The 19,418-nt window shown below is 37.7% G+C and overlaps 1 long non-coding RNA gene across 1 annotated transcript in view; it reads left to right on the top strand.

The window, feature by feature from the left end:
* The window catches only part of LOC105377212 (uncharacterized), a 54,563-nt gene extending 42,750 nt beyond the window's left edge, over positions 1–11,813 (top strand). The window contains exon 4 of the long non-coding RNA XR_007068252.1: positions 11,006–11,813. This is a non-coding gene — a long non-coding RNA (uncharacterized LOC105377212). The remainder of the gene's footprint in view (positions 1–11,005) is intronic.
* The last annotated feature ends 7,605 nt before the right edge of the window (positions 11,814–19,418 follow it).

Raw genomic sequence — 19,418 nt, 5'->3', positions numbered from 1 at the left:
CAGCAAAATTATCCTTCAACTATGAAGAAGAAATAAACACTTTCCCAGACAAACAAAAGCTGAGAGATCATGTCTACATCAGACCTGTCCTACAAGAAATGGTAAAGAGAGTGCTTCAATCAGAAAGAAAAGGCAGTTACAAAATGACAAAGAAATTATCTGAAGATATAAAACCTGTCAGTAATAGCAAGTACACAGAAAAGTACACAATACTATAACACTGCAATTGCAGTGTCTTAGCCACTCATATCTTTAGCAGGAAGACAAATAAACTGCCAAAACTGATAGTGACAAACATCTTTCAATAGATAGACAATATAAAAAGATACAGAGACAGACAAAGTCATAAATCAGAGGAAATGAAGTTAAAGTGTAGAATGTTTTCATAGTTTTCTCTTTGCTTATTTGTTTTGCTCTTTTTGGCAATCAGAGTTGTCATCAGTTTAAAAATGGGTTATAAGATGTTATTCATCAGCTTCATGGCAACCACAAACAAACCCCTATAACATAGATTTAAATATTGAAAATCAAGAAATCAAAACAAGCTACTAGATAAAATCCTTTTTTACACAAAGGAAGACAAGAAAAAAGAGAGCACCACCGACAACGGAAAAAAAAAAAAAAAGTAAAAAAGTGGCAGTACTACTCTTTACCAATGAATAATCAGGTTAAATTTACACTAAATTATTCAGTAAAAGTTAAGAACAGCTGAATGGATAAAAAACAAGATTCAGCTATATGCGGCCCACAAGAAAGTGGCTATACCTGTGAAGATATGCATAGATTAAAAATAAAGGAATAGAAATGGTTATTCCATGGAAATCAGAATCAAATAACACTAGGAGTAGTGCACTTATATCAGGTAAAATAGATTTCAAGACAAAAACTACACAAAGAGACAAAGAAGATCATTACATGATGATAAAGTGGTCAAATCAGGAAGAGAATATAACCGTTGTATGGAACCCCGATATATAAAGAAAATACTATTAAAAAAGAGAGAGACAATGGTAGCAGGTGACCTAAACACCTCATTTTAATCATTGCACAGATCAACCAGACAGAAACTCAACAAAGAAAGGTTCAACTTAATCGTCACTCTAGATCAGGTGAACCTAATATACATTTATAGAACATTTCATGCAACAGCTGCAGAATACACATACTTCTCATCAGCACATGGAATATTCTCCAGGATAGACCAAATATTACTCCACAAAGCAAGTCTCAAAAAATCCAAAAAAATTCTGAGCAAGCAGCCTGACTAGATGCAGCTGAGAAGTCCTGCTCCCACGGAAAGAAAATATGATTTCAACTACACCAACATAAATTGAACAGATCTTTGGACAGAAAATGCCAAATGTGGACGGAGAAGAGAAGCAGATGCTGAGGCTGTAAAGGGAGGAAACTGGGAACACGGCACGGAGTACCTGAACACCAAGTCTGGTTCCCAGCCCCGGACAGTGCCTGGGAAAGGGGACTTCCCCTTAAAGGAGCCCCCCCCCCATGGCCCAAAAGACCCGACAACAACATCAATAACAACAAAATTGTGGGCACAGTGCCAGTGATTGTAGGTGGCTCCTGAAAGGCCCAGGAGCAGGTCTGGCGAGAGGGTTAACTATCTTCCCCTCGCACCTCACAACAGAACTGCAAGCACAAGGATGCACAAAGAAACCACGCAACTAACAGCCTACCTACCGCCCATTGCTCTCAAGCGCCATCTACTGGAACACAGACAAAACTACAAGAGCAAAAAACTACTCGCTGTGAAACCGAAGGGGCAAGAATTCAACAACGAACACCCCGTGCAGAGACTTGGTCCTCTGAAAACTTCCAGAAACAAAGCCAACTAGCCATACTCAATTTACATCACAGTTAAAAATATGAGCCTCCCAAGATGAGGAAGAATAAATGCAAGAACTCTGAGAATGCAAAAAGCCAGAGTGTCGAGCATTCTTATACACGAATAACAGACAAACAGAGAGCCAAATCATGAGTGAACTCCCATTCACAATTGCTACAAAGAGAATAAAATACCTAGGAATCCAACTTACAAGGGATGTGAAGGACCTCTTCAAGGAGAACTACAAACCACTGCTCAATGAAATAAAAGAGGATAGAAACAAATGGAAGAACATTCCATGCTCATGGGTAGGAAGAATCAATATCGTGAAAATGGCCATACTGCCCAAGGTAATTTAATAGATTCAATACCGTCCCCATCAAGCTACCAATGACTTTCTTCACAAAATTGGAAAAAACTACTTTAAAGCTCATGTGGAACCAAACAAGAGCCCGCGTCGCCAAGTCAATCCTAAGCCAAAAGAACAAAGCTGGAGGCATCACGCTACCTGACTTCAAACTATACTACAAGGCTGCAGTAACCAAAACAGCATGGTACTGGTACCAAAACAGAGATACAGAACATATGGAACAGAACAGAGCCCTCAGAAATAAAGCCGCATATCTACAACCATCTGACCTTTGACAAACCTGACAAAAACAAGCAATGGGGAAAGGAGTCCCTATTTAGTAAATGGTGCTAGGAAAACTGGCTAGCCATATGTAGGAAGCTGAAACTGGATCCCTTCCTTACACGTTACACAAAAATTAATTCAAGATGAATTAAAGACATAAATGTTAGACCTGAAACCATAAAAACCCTAGAAGTAAACCTAGGCAACACCATTCAGGACATAGGCATGGGCAAGGACTTCATGTCTAAAACAGCAAAAGCAAAGGCAACGAAAGCCAAAATTGACAAATGGGATCTAATTAAACTAAAGAGCTTCTGCACAGCAAAAGAAACTACCATCAGAGTGAACAGGCAACCTACAGAACGGGAGAAAATGTTCGCAACCCACTCATCTGACAAAGGTCTAATATCCAGAATCTACAATGAACTCAAACAAATTTACAAGAAAAAAACAAACAACCCCATCAAAAAGTGGGCAAAGGATATGAACAGACACTTCTCCGAAGAAGACATTTATGCAGCCAAAAAACACATGAAAAAATGCTCATCATCACTGGCCATCAGAGAAATGCAAATCAAAACCACAATGAGATACCATCTCACACCAGTTAGAATGGCGATCATTAAAAAGTCAGGAAACAACAGGTGGTGGAGAGGATGTGGAGAAATAGGAACACTTTTACACTGTTGGTGGGACTGTAAACTAGTTCAACCATTGTGGAAGTCAGTGTGGCGATTCCTCAGGGATCTAGAACTAGAAATACCATTTGACCCAGCAATGCCATTACTGGGTATATAACCAAAGGATTATAAATCATGCTGCCATAAAGACACATGCACATGTATGTTTATTGCGGCACTATTCACAATAGCAAAGACTTGGAACCAACCCAAATGTCCAACAATGATAGACTGGATTAAGAATATGTGGCACATATACACCATGGAATACTATGCAGCCATAAAAAATGAAGAGTTCATGTCCTTTGTAGGGACATGGATGAAACTGGAAACCATCATTCTCAGCAAACTATCGCAAGGACAAAAAACCAAACACTGCATGTTCTCACTCATAGGAGGGAATTGAACAATGAGAACACATGGACACAGGAAGGGGAACATCACACTCCGGGGACTGTTGTGGGGTGGGGGCAGGGTGGAGGGATAGCATTAGGAGATATACCTAATGCTAAATGACGAGTTGATGGGTGCAGCACACCAACATGGCACATGTATACATATGTAACAAACCTGCACATTGTGCACATGTACCCTAAAACTTAAAGTATAATAATAATAAAATTAAAATGAGACCAGTAATGGCTCTTAACCAGTCTGAAATAAATGAAATGACAGACATGGAATTATCTGGATGGCAAGGCCGCTCTTCAAGATTCAGTATAAAGCTGAAACCCAATCTAAGAAAACCAAGTAATCCAGTGAAATGATTCAAGAGCTGAAAGACAAAATAGCCATTTTAAGCCAATCCCAGGCTAGACTTCTTGAGTTGAAAGGATTCACTGCAAGAATTTTATAACACAATCAGAAGTATTAATACCAGAATAAACCAAGCTGAGAAAGAAATCTCAGAGCTTGAAAACCAGTTCTTCAAATCAACTTAGTCAAAAACAAATAAATAATTAAAGAGAAAAAAACTAACAAAAATGAACAAAACCTCTGAGAAATATGGAATTATGTGAAGAGACTCAATCGATGATTAATCAGCATCCCTGAGATAGGAGAGAGAATAAACATCTTGGAAAATATATTTGAAGTTATAGTCTATGAAAATTATCTTCCTCTCACTAGAGAGGTTTACATGCAAATCCAAGAAATACAGAGAACTCCAGGCAGATACTATACAAGACAACCATCCCCAAGGCACATGGTAATCAGGTTCACCAAGGTCAATGCCAAAGAAAAAAATTAAAGGCAGCTAGAGAGAAGGGGCTGGTCACCTACAGAGGGAACCCCATCAGGCTAGCAGTAGACCTCTCAGTAGAAACCTTGCAATACAGAAGAGATTGGGCGCATATTTTGAACATCTCCAAGGAAAAAAAAAATCAACCAATGATTTTATATTTTGTCAAACTACACTTCCTAAGTGAAGGAGAAATAAAATCCTTTTCATTCAAGCAAATGTTGGGGGAATACATTTCAACCAGATCAGCATTACAAGAGGCCCTTAAGGGAGTGCAAAACGTGGATTCGAAAGAACAATACCTGTTACCACAAAAGCACACTTCAGCACATAGCACACAGACACTGTAAAGCAACTACGTCATCAAGTCTACATAACGGCCAGCTAAGAAAATGACGAGATGATCAAAATCACATATATCAACAGTAACCTTGAATGTAAAAGGGCCAGATATCCCACTTAAAAGACACAGCATGGAAGGCTGGATTAAAAAAAAAAAACAAAACTCAATCATTTGTTGTCCTCGTGAGACCTATCTCACATGTAGAAACACGTAAAGGCTCAATGTAAAAAGGGAGAGTAATATCTGCCATGCAAATGCAAAATTAAAAGAGCAGGAGTCGCTGTTCTTATATCAGATAAAACAGACTTTAAACCAATAAAAGATAAGAAGAGTAAAGAAGGACATTACATAATGATAAAGACTACAATCCAACAAGAAGCTTCAACTATCATCCTAAATATATACATACCCAACATTAGAGCACGCAGTTTCATATAACAAGTTCTTCTTGGCCTACAAAAAGACTTATACAACCACACAATAGTAGTGAAGGACTTCAACATCCCACTGACAGCAGTAGGCATATCATCAAGGTAGGAAATGGTAAACTCTGGACTTGAACCAGTCACCTGACTAATTGACCTAATAGACATCTGCAGAACATTCATCCAACAATAAAAAAAAAAATACATTCTTCCCATCTGCACATAAAATACTTTCTAAGATTGACCACATGTTCAGTCATAAAGAAAGCCTCAATAAATTCAAAAATTTTGAAATCATACCAAGCATACTTTCAGACCACAGTGCAATAAAAATAGAAATCAAAGTCAAGAAGACCTCTCAAAACTACATGCACACCTGAAAATAAAACAACTTACTCTTGAACAGCATCAAAATTATGGCAGAAATTTAACAAAAATTAAATTAATAAAAACAGGAACACAACTTATTGAAATCTCTGGGATGCAGCCAAATCAGTGTTTGTTAAGAGCAAAATGTATAGATCTAAACGTCTTCATCAAAATGTTAGAAATGTTTCAAGTTATCAATCTAACTTTTCACATAAAGGAACTAGAAAGGAAAGAACAAACCAACCCAAAATCCAGCAGAAAATTAAAAGAAAAAACTAAAATTAGAGAATAACAGAGCCAACGACAAAAACCACATGATTATCTCAATAGATGCAGAAAAGGCCTTTGACAAAATTCAACAACCTTCATGCTAAAAACTCTCAATAAATTAGGTATTGATGGGACTTATCTCAAAATAATAAGAGCTATCTATGACAAACGCACAGCCAATATCATACTGAATGGTCAAAAACTGGAAGCATTCCCTTTGAAAACTGGAACAAGACCGGGATGCCCTCTCTCACCACTCCTATTCAACACTGTGTTGGAATTTCTGGCCAGGGCAATCAGGCAGGAGAAGGAAATAAAGGGTATTCAATTAGGAAAAGAAGAAGTCAAATTGTCCCTGTTTGCAGATGACATGATTGTATATCTAGAAAACCCCATCATCTCAGCCCAAAATCTCCTTAAGCTGATAGGCAACTTCAGCAAACTCTCAGGATACAAAATCAATGTGCAAAAATCACAAGCATTCTTATACACAAATAACAGACAAACAGAGAGCCAAAACATGAGTGAACTCCCATTCACAATCGCTTCAAAGAGAATAAAATACCTAGGAATCCAACTTACAAGGGATGTGAAGGACCCCTTCAAGGAGAACTACAAACCACTGCTCAGTGAAATAAAAGAGGATACAAACAAATGGAAGAACATTCCATGCTCACGGGTAGGAAAAATCAATATCGTGAAAATGGCCATACTGCCCAAGGTAATTTATAGATTCAATGCCTTCCCCATCAAGCTACCAATGACTTTCTTCACAGAATTGGAAAAAAAAAAACTACTTTAAAGTTCATATGGAACCAAAAAAGAGCCCGCATCGCCAAGTCAATCCTAAGCCAAAAGAACAAAGCTGGAGGCATCACGCTACCTGACTTCAAACTCTACTGCAAGGCTACAGTAACCAAAACAGCATGGTACTGGTACCAAAACAGAGATATAGACGAATGGAACAGAACAGAGCCCTCATAAATAATGCCACATATCTGCAACCATCTGATCTTTGACAAACCTGACAAAAACAAGCAATGGGGAAAGGAGTCCCTATTTAATAAATGGTGCTGGGAAAACTGGCTAGCCATATGTAGAAAGCTGAAACTGGATCCCTTCCTTACACATTATGCAAAAATTAATTCAAGATGGATTAAAGACATAAATGTTAGACCTGAAACCATAAAAACCCTAGAAGTAAACCTAGGCAACACCATTCAGGACATAGGCATGGGCAAGGACTTCATGTCTAAAACAGCAAAAGCAATGGCAACGAAAGCCAAAATTGACAAATGGGATCTAATGAAACTAAAGAGCTTCTGCACAGCAAAAGAAACCACCATCAGAGTGAACAGGCAACCCACAGAATGGGAGAAAAGTTTTGCAATCTACTCATCTGACAAAGGGCTGATATCCAGAATCTACAATGAACTCAAACAAATTTACAAGAAAAAAACAAACAACCCCATCAAAAAGTGGGCGAAGGATATGAACAGACACTTCTCAAAAGAAGACATTTATGCAGCCAAAAGACACATGAAAAAATGCTCATCATCACTGGCCATCAGAGAAATGCAAATCAAAACCACAATGAGATACCATCTCACACCAGTTAGAATGGCGATCATTAAAAAGTCAGGAAACAACAGGTGCTGGAGAGGATGTGGAGAAATAGGAACACTTTTACACTGTTGGTGGGACTGTAAACTAGTTCAACCATGGTGGAAGACAGTGTGGCGATTCCTCAGGGATCTAGAACTAGAAATACCATTTGACCCAGCAATGCCATTACTGGGTATATACCCAAAGGATTATAAATCATGCTGCCATAAAGACACATGCACACGTATGTTTATTGCGGCCCTATTCACAACAGCAAAGACTTGGAACCAACCCAAATGTCCAACAATGATAGACTGGATTAAGAAAATGTGGCACATATACACCACACCGTGGAACACTATGCAGCCATAAAAAATGATGAGTTCCTTTCCTTTGTAGGGACATGGATGAAGCTGGAAACCATCATTCTCAGCAAACTATTGCAAGGACAAACTGCCACATGTTCTCACTCATAGGTGGGAATTGAACAGTGAGAACACATGGACACCCGAAGGGGAACATCACACACCAGAGCCTGTTGTGGGGAGGGGGGAGGGTGGAGGGACAGCATTAGGAGATATGCCTAATGTTAAATGACGAGTTAATGGGTGCAGCACACCAACATGGCACATGTATACGTATGTAACTAACCTGCACGTTGTGCACATGTACCCTAAAACTTAAAGTATAATAAAAAAAATAAAAAAGAATAACTTAATAAATTTGAATTGCAAAAATCTATACAAACTATCAGTGAAACCAAGAATTGGATCTTCAGAAAAATAGATACGATTGATAGACCCTTTCTTAGGTTAACAAAGAAAAAGAGGGATACCAGACATGCGAAGAAGAACTGGTACTAACCCTGCTGAAACTATCTCAAAAATTTGAGAAAGAAGGGCTCCTTTTTAACTTATTCTATGAAATGAGCATCAGACCTGTATCATAATCTGACAGAGACACGCACACACACAAAAGAAATCTCAGACCAATATTCATTGTGAACATAGATGTAAAAATGCTCAACAAAATAATACCAAACCAAATCCAGCAGCAGAGCAACACCTCAAAAAGTTAGTACACCATAATCAAGTAAGCATTATTCCTGGGATGAAAGGATGATTCAACTTATGCAAATTATAAATGTGCTTTAGCACATAAACAGAATTTAAAGCAAAGACAATGTGATCATTGAAATAGATGCAGTAAAAGCTTTCAATAAAATTCAATATCTGTTCATGATAAAAAAAAAAAAACCTCAACAGACTAGGCATCAAGGGAATATACCTCAAAATAATAAAAGCTGTCTCTGACAAACCCATAGCCAACATTATATGAGTGAGAAAAGGCTGGAACAATTCTCCTTGAGAAGTGGAACAAGACAAAGATATCTACTCACACTACTCCTATTCAGTACTGGAAGCCCTAGCCAGAGCAATCAGAAAAGAGAAAGAAATAAAAGGCATCCAAATAGGAAAAGAAAAAGTCCAACCATCTCTCTTCCCTGACAATATGATTCCATACGTAGAAAATCCTAAAGGCTATGCCAAAAGGTTCCTAGAACTGATCAGCTACTTCTGTAAAGATTCAGGATACAAAACCAATGTACAAAAATATCAGTAGCATTTTTACCAACAACACGTAGGCTGAGAGTGAAATCAAAAACGGAAGTTCCCTTATAGTAGGCTCAGAGAAAACAGAGTACCTAGGAATACAGTTAACCAAGAAGGTGAAAGATTACCATAAGAATAACTACAAAACACTATTTTAAAAAATCAGAGATGACAGAAACAAAACAAAACAAAAATATATGCTCATGGACTGGAAGAATCAATATCATTAAAATGTCAACATGACACAGAGTAATTTACAAATTCAATGCTATTTCTATCAAATGACCAATGTCATTCTCCACAGAATTAGAAAAACTTTTTCTAACATTCAGACAGAACCAAAAAAGACCTTAAATAGCCAAAGACATCTTAAGCAAAAGAACAAAGCCGGATGCATCACACTACCTGACCTCAAATGATACTACAAAGTTACAGTAATGTAAACAGCATGGTTCTGGTACAAAATCAGACACATAGACTAATGGAAAGAAAAGAACAGAAAATTTAGAAATAAAATGAAACACCTACTGCCGTGTGATCTTCAAGAAGGATGATAAAAACAAGCAATGGGAAAACGACTCTTTATTCAGGAAATGGTGCTGAGATAACTGACTAGCCACAGGCAGGTAAAGCTGGACCCTTGCTTTTCACCATATACAAAAGTTAACTCAAGATGAGTTAAAGATTTAAATGTAGGACCTCAAACTACAGAAGTCCTAGGAGACAACCCAGGCAATACTCTTCTTGACATTGGCTTTGGCAAAGAATTTTTGGCCAAGTCCCCAAAAGCAGTTGCAACAATAACAGAAACAGATATATGAGACCTAATTAAAATAAAGAGCTTATACACAGCAAAAGAAACTATCAACACAGTAAACAGACAACATACAGAATGGGAGAAAACATCCACAAACTATGCATTCTACGATGGCCTAATATCTAGAATCTATAGAGAACTTTAAAAAAATCATTAAGAAGAAACAAATAACTCCATTAAAAATTGGCAATGACAGCGACACTATTCACAATAGCAAAGACTTGGAACCAACCCAAATGTCCATCAATGATAGACTGGATTAAGAAAATGTGGCACATATACACCATGGAATTCTATGCAGCCATAAAAAAGGATGAGTTCATGTCCTTTGTAGGGACATGGATGAAGCTGGAAACCATCATTCTCAGCAAACTATCACAAGGACAGAAAACTAAACACCACATGTTCTCACTCATAGGTGGGAATTGAACAATGAGAACACTTGGACACAGGAAGGGGAACATCACACACCGGGGCCTGTTGTGGGGTGGGGGGAGGGGAGAGGGATAGCATTAGGAGATATACCTAATGTAAATAACGAGTTAATGGGTGCAGCACACCAACATGGCATATGTATACATATGTAACAAACCTCCACGTTGTGCACGTGTACCCTAGAACTTAAAGTATAATAAAAAAAAATTGGCAATGACATTGAACAGACACTTCTCAGAAGAAGACATATAAGCAACAAAAACTCATGGAAAATGCTCAGCATCACTAATCATCAGAGAAATGCAAATGAAAACCAAATTGAGACAACATCTCACACGAGTCTGAATGGGTATTAAAAAGTCAAAAAACAATAGATGCTGGTGAGGCTGCAGAGAAAAGGGAACACTTATGCATTCCTGGTGGAAATGTAAGTTAGTAGAGCCACTGTGGAAAACACTCTGGAGATTTCTCAAACATCTCAATACGGAGTTACCCTTTGATGCAGCAGTTCAATTACTGGCTATGTACCCAAAGGAAAATAAATCATTCTACCAGAAAGGCATATGCACTCTTATGTTCATTGCTGTGCTATTCACAGTAGCAAAGACATGGAATCAACCCAGATGACAATCAACGGTAGATTGGATAAGGAAAATGTGGTACATATATATACCATGGAATACTATGCAGCCATAAAAATGTAATAAAATCTTTTTTCTTTTTCTTTTTAGCAGCAACATGGATGCAGGGGGAGGCCATAATCATAAGGGAGTTAACACAAGAAGAAACAACAAAATTCCACATGTTTTCATGGATAAGTGGGAGCTTAACACTGAGCATGGGAACATGAACATGAACACGAGAAATATAGACACTGTGGACTCCTAGAGGTAGGTGGTAGGGAATGGAATGTTGGTTGAAAAACTACTTATTGAACGTTAGGCTCACTACCTGGGTCCAAAATTGCCATGTAACAATCCTACACATGTAACCCCTGTATCTCCCTGTATCTTAAACAAAAGTTGAAATTCGGAAAAGAAACTGCCTTCACGGTATCCCTTATGTGTTGCTATATCGTGTTTTCAGTTTCATTTGTCTCAAGATATTTCATGATTTCCCTTTTTTGATCCATTGCTTATTCATGTGTGTGTTGTTTTGTTTCCACATATTTGTGTATTTTCCAATTGTCCTGTTGTTATTAATTTCTAGATCCATCTTATTCTGATTGAAAAAGAGGTTTGCTATTATTTCAATCTTCTTAAATTTGTTAAGACTTGGTTTGTGGTGTAACATGTAACTTGTCCTGGAGAATGTTCCAGGTGTGCTTGAAAAGGATGTCTATTCTGCAAAATGGATATGCAAAAATGGCTAGCATTCCTATACACCAACAATAGGCAAGCAGGGAGCCAAATCATGATTGAACTCCCATTCACAATTTCTACACAAAGACGGAAATACCTAGAAACACAGCTAACAAGGGAAATGAAGGACCTCTTTAAGGAGAACCACAAACCACTTCTCAAAGGAATCAGAGAGAACACAAAAAAAATAGAAAAGCATTCCATGCTCATGGCCAGGAAGAATCAATATCATAAAAACGGCCATACTGCCCAAAGTAATTTCTAGATTCAATGCTATTTCCATTAAACTACCATTGACAGACTTCACAGAAATAGAGAAAAAAAAAAAAAAACGACTTTAAAATTCATAGGGAACCAAAAAAGAGCCCGAATAGCCAAGACAATCCTAAGCAAAAAGACCAAAGCTGCTACCTGACTTTAAACTATACTACAAGACTGCAGTAAACAAAACCACATGGTACTGGTACAAGGACAGACACACAGACCAATGGAACAGAATAGAGAATGCAGAAATAAGACCACACACCTACAACCAACTGATCTTCGACAAACCTGACAAAAATTAGCAATGGGGAAAGAATTCCTTATTTAATAAATGATGCTGAAAGAACTGGCTAGCCATAGGCAGAAAACTGAAACTGGACCCCTTCCCCACACCATATGCAAAAATTAACTCAAGACGGATTAAAGACTTAAACGTAAAACCCAGAACTATAAAAACCCTAGAAGAAAATCTAGATAATACCATCCAGGACATAGGCATGGGCAAAGATTTAATGATGAAAACACCCAAAGCAATTGCAACAAAAGCAAAAACTGACAAATGGGATCTAAATAAACTAAAGAGCTTCTGCACAGCAAAAGAAACTATCATCAGAGTGAACAGACAACCTACAGGATGGGAGAAATGCTTTTTCAATCTATCCATCTAGCAACGGTCTAACATCCAGAGTCTGCAAGGAACGTAAGCAAATTTACAAGAAAAGATATAACCATTAAAACGTGGGCAAAGGACATGAACAGACACTTCTCAAAAGAAGACATACATGCAGCCAACAAACATATGAAAAAATGCTGAACATCACTGATCATCAGAGAAATGCAAATAAAAACCACAATGAGATAGCACGTCACACCAGTCAGAATGGCTATTATTAAAAAGTCAAGAAACAACAGATGCTGTCAAGGTTGCAGAGAAAAAGGAACGCTTTTACACTGTTGGTAGGAGCGTAAAGTAGTTCAACCATCGTGGAAGACAGCATGGCGATTCCTCAAAAGACCTCCAGGGAGAAATACCATTTGACCCAGCAATCCCATTACTGAGTATATACCCAAAGGAATATAAATAATTTTATTATAAAGATACATGCAATGTGTGAGTTCATTACAGCTCTATTCAAAATAGCAAAGATATGGAATCTACCTAAATGCCCATCCGTGGTAGACTGGAGAAAGAAAATGTGGTACATATACACCATGGGATACTATGCAGCCATAAAAAGGAACAAGATCATGTCCTTTGCAAGGACATGGGTGGAGCTGGAAGCAATTAGGCTCAGCAAACTAATGCAGAAACAGAAAACCAAACAACGCATGTTCTCACTTACAAGGGGGAGCTGAATGATGAGAACACATTTACACATGGAGGGAACAACACACACTGTGGCCTGTCAGGACGGTGGGGTCAGGGAGAGCATCAGGAAGAATAGCTAATGGACACTGGGCTTAATACCTAGGTTATGAGGTGATCGGTGCAGCAAACCACCACGGCACACGTTTACCTACGTAACAAACCTGCACATCCTGCACACGTGAACTTAAAATAAAAGTTGAAGACAAAAACAAAAAAAAAGAAGAAGAAGAAGAAAAGAGTGTGTATTCTGGGACTGTTGGTTGCAGTGTTCTGCGTATATCTAAGTTCATCTGTTTATAATGTTGTTCAAGTTTGTTATTTCCTCATCAATTTTCTGTATGCATGTCCTATGCATTGTTAAAAGTGCAGTATTAAAATCTCCTATGATTATTAAATTGCTGTATATTTTTACCTCTCAGTTATTCACTGTATGCTTTATATATTTATGTTCTCTGATGTTTGGTATGTATGTGTTTATAATTATTATATCTCGTTGGTGAGTAGGTTCTTTAATTTTATACCATATACATAAATCAACTTAAAATAGATTAAAGATTTAAGTATAAGACCTGAAACTGTTCAACTCTTAAACAAGAGTATAGATAAAAACTCGCTGACATTAACCTGGGCAATGATTTTTTTGATATGTCACTAAAATCAAAGGCAACAAAAGCAAAAAGATACAAGTGGTATTACATCAAACTGGAGAGCCTCTACACAGCAGAGAAAACAATCAACAAAATAAAATACAGCCTATTGAAAGGGAGAAATGTTTATAAATGCTATATCTGTTACTGCGTTAGTATAAAAATATATAACAAATTCCTGCAACTCAATAGCACAAATCAAACAACACAATTTAAAAAATCATCAAAGGACTTGAATAGACACTTCTCCAATGAATACATACAAGCAGCCAACAAGTATATGAAAAGGTGTTCCACATCACTAACCTGAGAAATGCAAATCAAACCATGGTGAGATGTCACTTCACACTAGTTAGGATGGCTACTATGAAAAAGACGGGAGATAACAAGTTACGAAGAAAATGTTAAATAATGGGACCCCTTGTACTCTGTTGGTGGGAATGTAAAATGGTGCAGCTGCTATGGAAAATAGTATGGAGGTTCTGCAAAAGATTAAAAATAGGACTACTATATGACCCAGCAATTCCACTGCTGTGCATATACCCCGCAAAATAGAAATCAAAATCCTGAAGAGAAATTTGTACTCCCATGTTCATTACAACATCATTCACGGTAGCCAACATATAGAAACAATCCAAGTAGCCATTGACTGATGAATAGTGAAACAAATGTGGTATATACAAAATAGAATGTTATTCAGACTTCACAAAGGAGAGTATCATGCCGTAAACAACAACATAGATAATCATAAAGGATATTATGCTAAGGGAAATAAGCCAGTTAGAGAAAGATAAACACTGCATGACTGTCCTTGTATATCTGAAATATTAAAAATTAAAGAAGCAGAGAATAGAATGGTGATTTCAAGGGGCTAGTGGCATTAAAAATGGGAGGTTGTTGTTTACCAGGTTTAAAATTTTTGTTATGCAGGATAAATAACTCCTAGAGATTTGCTGTACAACCCAGTAACAGTAGTTACCAGTATTGTATTGTACAATTAAAAATTTGTTAAATGGAACTTCTTATGTTAAGTGGACTTACCACAATAAGAATATATGGTACAAATATTGAGCTCCGTGTAATAGATTTGTTCTGTATAGATTTATGGGTTAGAAATTTCAAAATTATTTAATGTGTATTGAAATTGTATTTTGTTGATAATTGAAACCAAATTTTCTATTCTTAGAGAAGTGAATTACAAATGTGGTAAAGGAAATGCGAAAATGAGCCCGGTGGTGTTGGACTAGAATTATAGATGTTAGTATGAACAAACAAACATGTAGCTTATGTTCTATCTCTATCTCTATCTATCATCTATCTATCTATATCTATCTATCTATCTATCTATCTATCTATCTATCTATCTATCTATCTATCAATCTATCATCTATAGATATTATGCACACGCTTCTATGTGTTTTTGTGTGTATGTGTGTAAAAATTATCTAATTTTTATTTCTGTATCTATATTTCTCTATCTATACATTATTATATATAATCTTCTATGTTTGCATTCTTGCCCCCTGAGAGGAGTAAGTAGAAGCATGGACACCTCAACAGCAATAAGCACATCTAGCACAAAGATCTTGGCTTCCATTTACTGTTATCTACTCAATGGAACCAGAGCTCCTTGGAGAAATGGCTAACTCTATGTTTAGTACAGAGAAAATACAAGATGAACCAGACATATATTTTTGTGCCATTAATTAAGGAAGTTTCAAAGACTGATAAGTACACACAAAGAACACGGAAGACAGTTTGAACAGGATTTCCCTTACCAAATCAGGGACATATCCGTGTATTCATACTTAGATAGATAAATGAATAAATAAGTACTGGAAACATCAAAGGTCATTTTTACAATATAATTGCAAGTAAATGTAGAAGAAAATGTTGATATGAAAAAAAATCACAAGTTGGCCACCACCATAAAGCTATTTATTTCTGATGAAAATCATCAATAAATACTAGAATTATTGGGTGAAAGTATGGTGAGACTAGAGATATTTACATATTCTCACATTATATCTCCCTAAAAGTATTTATTAATTACAAAGGAAAACACAGTAACTTGGCAGTGGACAAATCTAGCAGATATCACCTTAGCCAAGCGATCAAATTTAATATCAAGATTTAATGGTGCAAATAGTTATTCTTTGCTTCCTGTTATGACGTACTGAGAATAACATAGTAACAATGGTGTGCTAATCCTTCCTAAACTGTACAATATCGAGTGAATTAATAGGAAAAAAACCAGCAAAAAGCACAAATTGAAGGACAGTCTACAAAATACTGGCCTTTATATTTTAAGTATTAAAGTAATAAAAAACAAATGTTAAACAACCAATCCACATCAAGAGAGACTAAAGAGACATTACAACTAAATGTGGTACCTGATAATGTATCAGATCCTGGACCAGAAAAAGGAATATATTTATTTGGCTTTAAATGACATTAGTGGGATAGATGGTGAAATTCAAATGAGGATTTTAGATTATCAGGGTAGGAGTACTTCTTCTTAAATTGCCAGAGAGTAAATATTTTAGACTTTCTGGGTCATGGGATCACTGTTGAAACCACTGAACTCTGTCCTTGTAAAACAAAAACAGCTGTAGACAAGAGGTAAGCCAGTAGGCTTGGCATTGCTCCAACACAATTTTATTTACAAAAACAGGCAGTTGTCCCACGGGTTTTAGTTTACTAACACCTAAATTAGATAACAGGACTACATTAATGTTAGCATACTCATTTTCAAAATTCTTATCCTGAGAGTGTGCATATCTTGCTTTTAAGATTATATATTAATGGTAAGAATATATGCACATATATATGTGTGAGTGTATTTCTGAAATATACATATATACATAACAAAACAGATGTACTATGTTATGTTTTAAAATGTAATGTATTAATAGAAAATTTCAGGTATAGTGAGTAAGTCGAACATACAAGGAGATGATTGCCATTAATAAGATAGTTTACTAGCTACAGTTCCCACAAGGAAGGGGCACACCGTGCCACGGGAGGCCAAATAAAAAAGCACTAGGGTCTGCCAGAAGGTAGAGGAAGAGGAGAGAATTGTGGTCAAGAACCTCTGTTGTTGTTCTTATGGGAAGAAATTGGTGAGCCTATTTAAGCTGGTTTACAAGTGTCTGGTTTTAATAATTTCAAGAATACCTTGCATTGGCAGTGATTAAGGCAGAGGGATAGTGGCCCAGAGATAAAAGACCAAAAAAGGAAGTGGTTAACCGTGTATCCTCTGTATTGATTGACTTGTATTTGAAAAGCACACTGTCAGATTAGTTATTTTCTTGCTCTAGGAAATGGCTAACCCTGGGATGAGCAGTCCCTCCAGGGTCAGCAGGGCCCCAGATCTCAATACATCAGAAAAGAGAAAATTAAAAAATATATATATTTTATATATATATGTATATATATATGTATATGTGTATATATATACATATATATACATATATATACATATATATGTATATACATATATATATACATATATATACATATATATGTATATACATATATATACATATATATACATATATATGTATATACATATATATACATATATATGTATATACATATATATACATATATATGCATATATATACACACATATATATGCATATATATATATACACACACACACACACATATATATATATATATATATATATATGCTTAATACAAGTAGCCCTATGTTGCTTTGACATAATATTATGGAACATTTGAAATGACAACAGGGGAGAAATTTAGTGAATAGTGCATACGTTTCTCTAAACAACGCAGAAAACATTTTATTATGAGAGTAAAAATGAGAAACTCAAGACAAAGTATAAAGAGTCTTAGGCTAGCTCATAGATAAGATTATTGTTTATATGGCATTAGCCAAGAAAATTGATCTAAATTTTTTGAAACAAAAGGGGGTTTCAAGATGACTGACTAGAAATATTTTATGCCTACCTCTTTCACTTGGATGAACCAGAGTAGTGCATAGACAGTAACACTTCCTAGAGAAAATGCTGGAATTCAACATAGAAGTGACAGGGGGCACTAAAAACAGGAAAGGAGAAGGAGGAGAGGCAGCCTCCCTGGCCAGGATTGGCCAAGAGCCAGTACTGACTCCCCAGTGCAGGGGAGGGATGAGTAAGAGACTGCCAGTGTCCCATGACCCCACCATAGAAGTGTGCAATCCTGGCCACTTGAAAAATGCTTAACCTTCTCGAACCTGGAAACTAACAGAGAAAGTTGCCAGGAGACTGTGGGGACAGAACTGCTCCAGGGAGGGAGTTCATGCTGACACCCTTTCTGAGATCTAAGTTGATAGAAAGGTGCCATTTTCAAAACTAGCCTCCAGCAAACTGCATGCTTTTCTGAGACCCAGAGGCACCAGGACTAGACGTTCCGGAAACTCAGGCTGCCACAGCTGGGACTGGGCAGGGAGCTAGCACTACCCCTTTAGCTGGGGCTAAGAAGTGCATGAGGCCTGGATGGTAGCAGCCAGTGCCATAAAATGAGTATTGCACTGCCAGGACCTAAAATGAAGTCATGAAGAGGGCATGAGTTGCCACTGGGACTTGATCATGAGCTGAGTGTGGGCTCCTGCAGTCTGGGCAAGAAGTTGAGTCTCACTGGGACTGAGCTGTGAAGGGGAGAACATGCATTCTCCACACCATGGCCCAGGCTGTGACTACCGAGGGTAGCCCATCATCTCTGGGCATTATCCCCAACACAGAGGCCACCACCCTCACCCAATGACTCTCCCTGGGGCATGAGAAATACCCTTACCCCCTGCCCACCGTGGCTGGTGAGTACTCTCAAAATAGGGGGCCTGAGCACAAGACTGTCCAGCCGAGTTTGCTCCCCATTCCAAGACAGATCACATAATCTAGAGACCTGAGTATTGCACAAGCCAAACCACCACCTTGGGCACGTGAGCATTCCTCCAAGGGTCCTGAGATTGGGCGTAAACTTCACGCTGCTACCACCTCACCTGGAAACTATCTGTAAGAACCACCCGCGGGCCTGGAGACTTGCCCACCCAGAACATTGCAGCCAGTGCCAACATCAATGCACACCACGTGAGACCCAGAGAATCTTCCTGCCATTGCTACTCCCATTCCCCATGCAACACCAGTTGCCCATAGGACGGAGAACTCACCCAACAATCTCGTCCACCACTGCCACGACAGGAATCCTAGCAAGCCATCTGGAGCTCCAAAAATCAACCCATTAGTAACTGCCAGCACAGGTGCCAGTGTGCACCACCCTGGGGCACAAGATAGGCATGCTAAGCCCACCACTGTCTACACTGGGGCCGGAAGACTGGCCCAACTGGCATTCAAGTCCCCAGCACAATACCATCACAGCCTCCATAAACAAACGTGCCCTAACCCACTGAGGAAATCACAGATACCACTAATGCTGTTTACGGCCAAATTGATCATAAAGAGACTACACTACTGTATGCCCCCAGGAGCAAAGCCAA

This window comes from Homo sapiens, chromosome X, assembly GCF_000001405.40.
Source record: "Homo sapiens chromosome X, GRCh38.p14 Primary Assembly".
NCBI lineage: Eukaryota > Metazoa > Chordata > Mammalia > Primates > Hominidae > Homo > Homo sapiens.
Note: the sequence above shows the minus strand (reverse complement) of the source record. Positions and strands in the feature narration are given on the sequence as shown.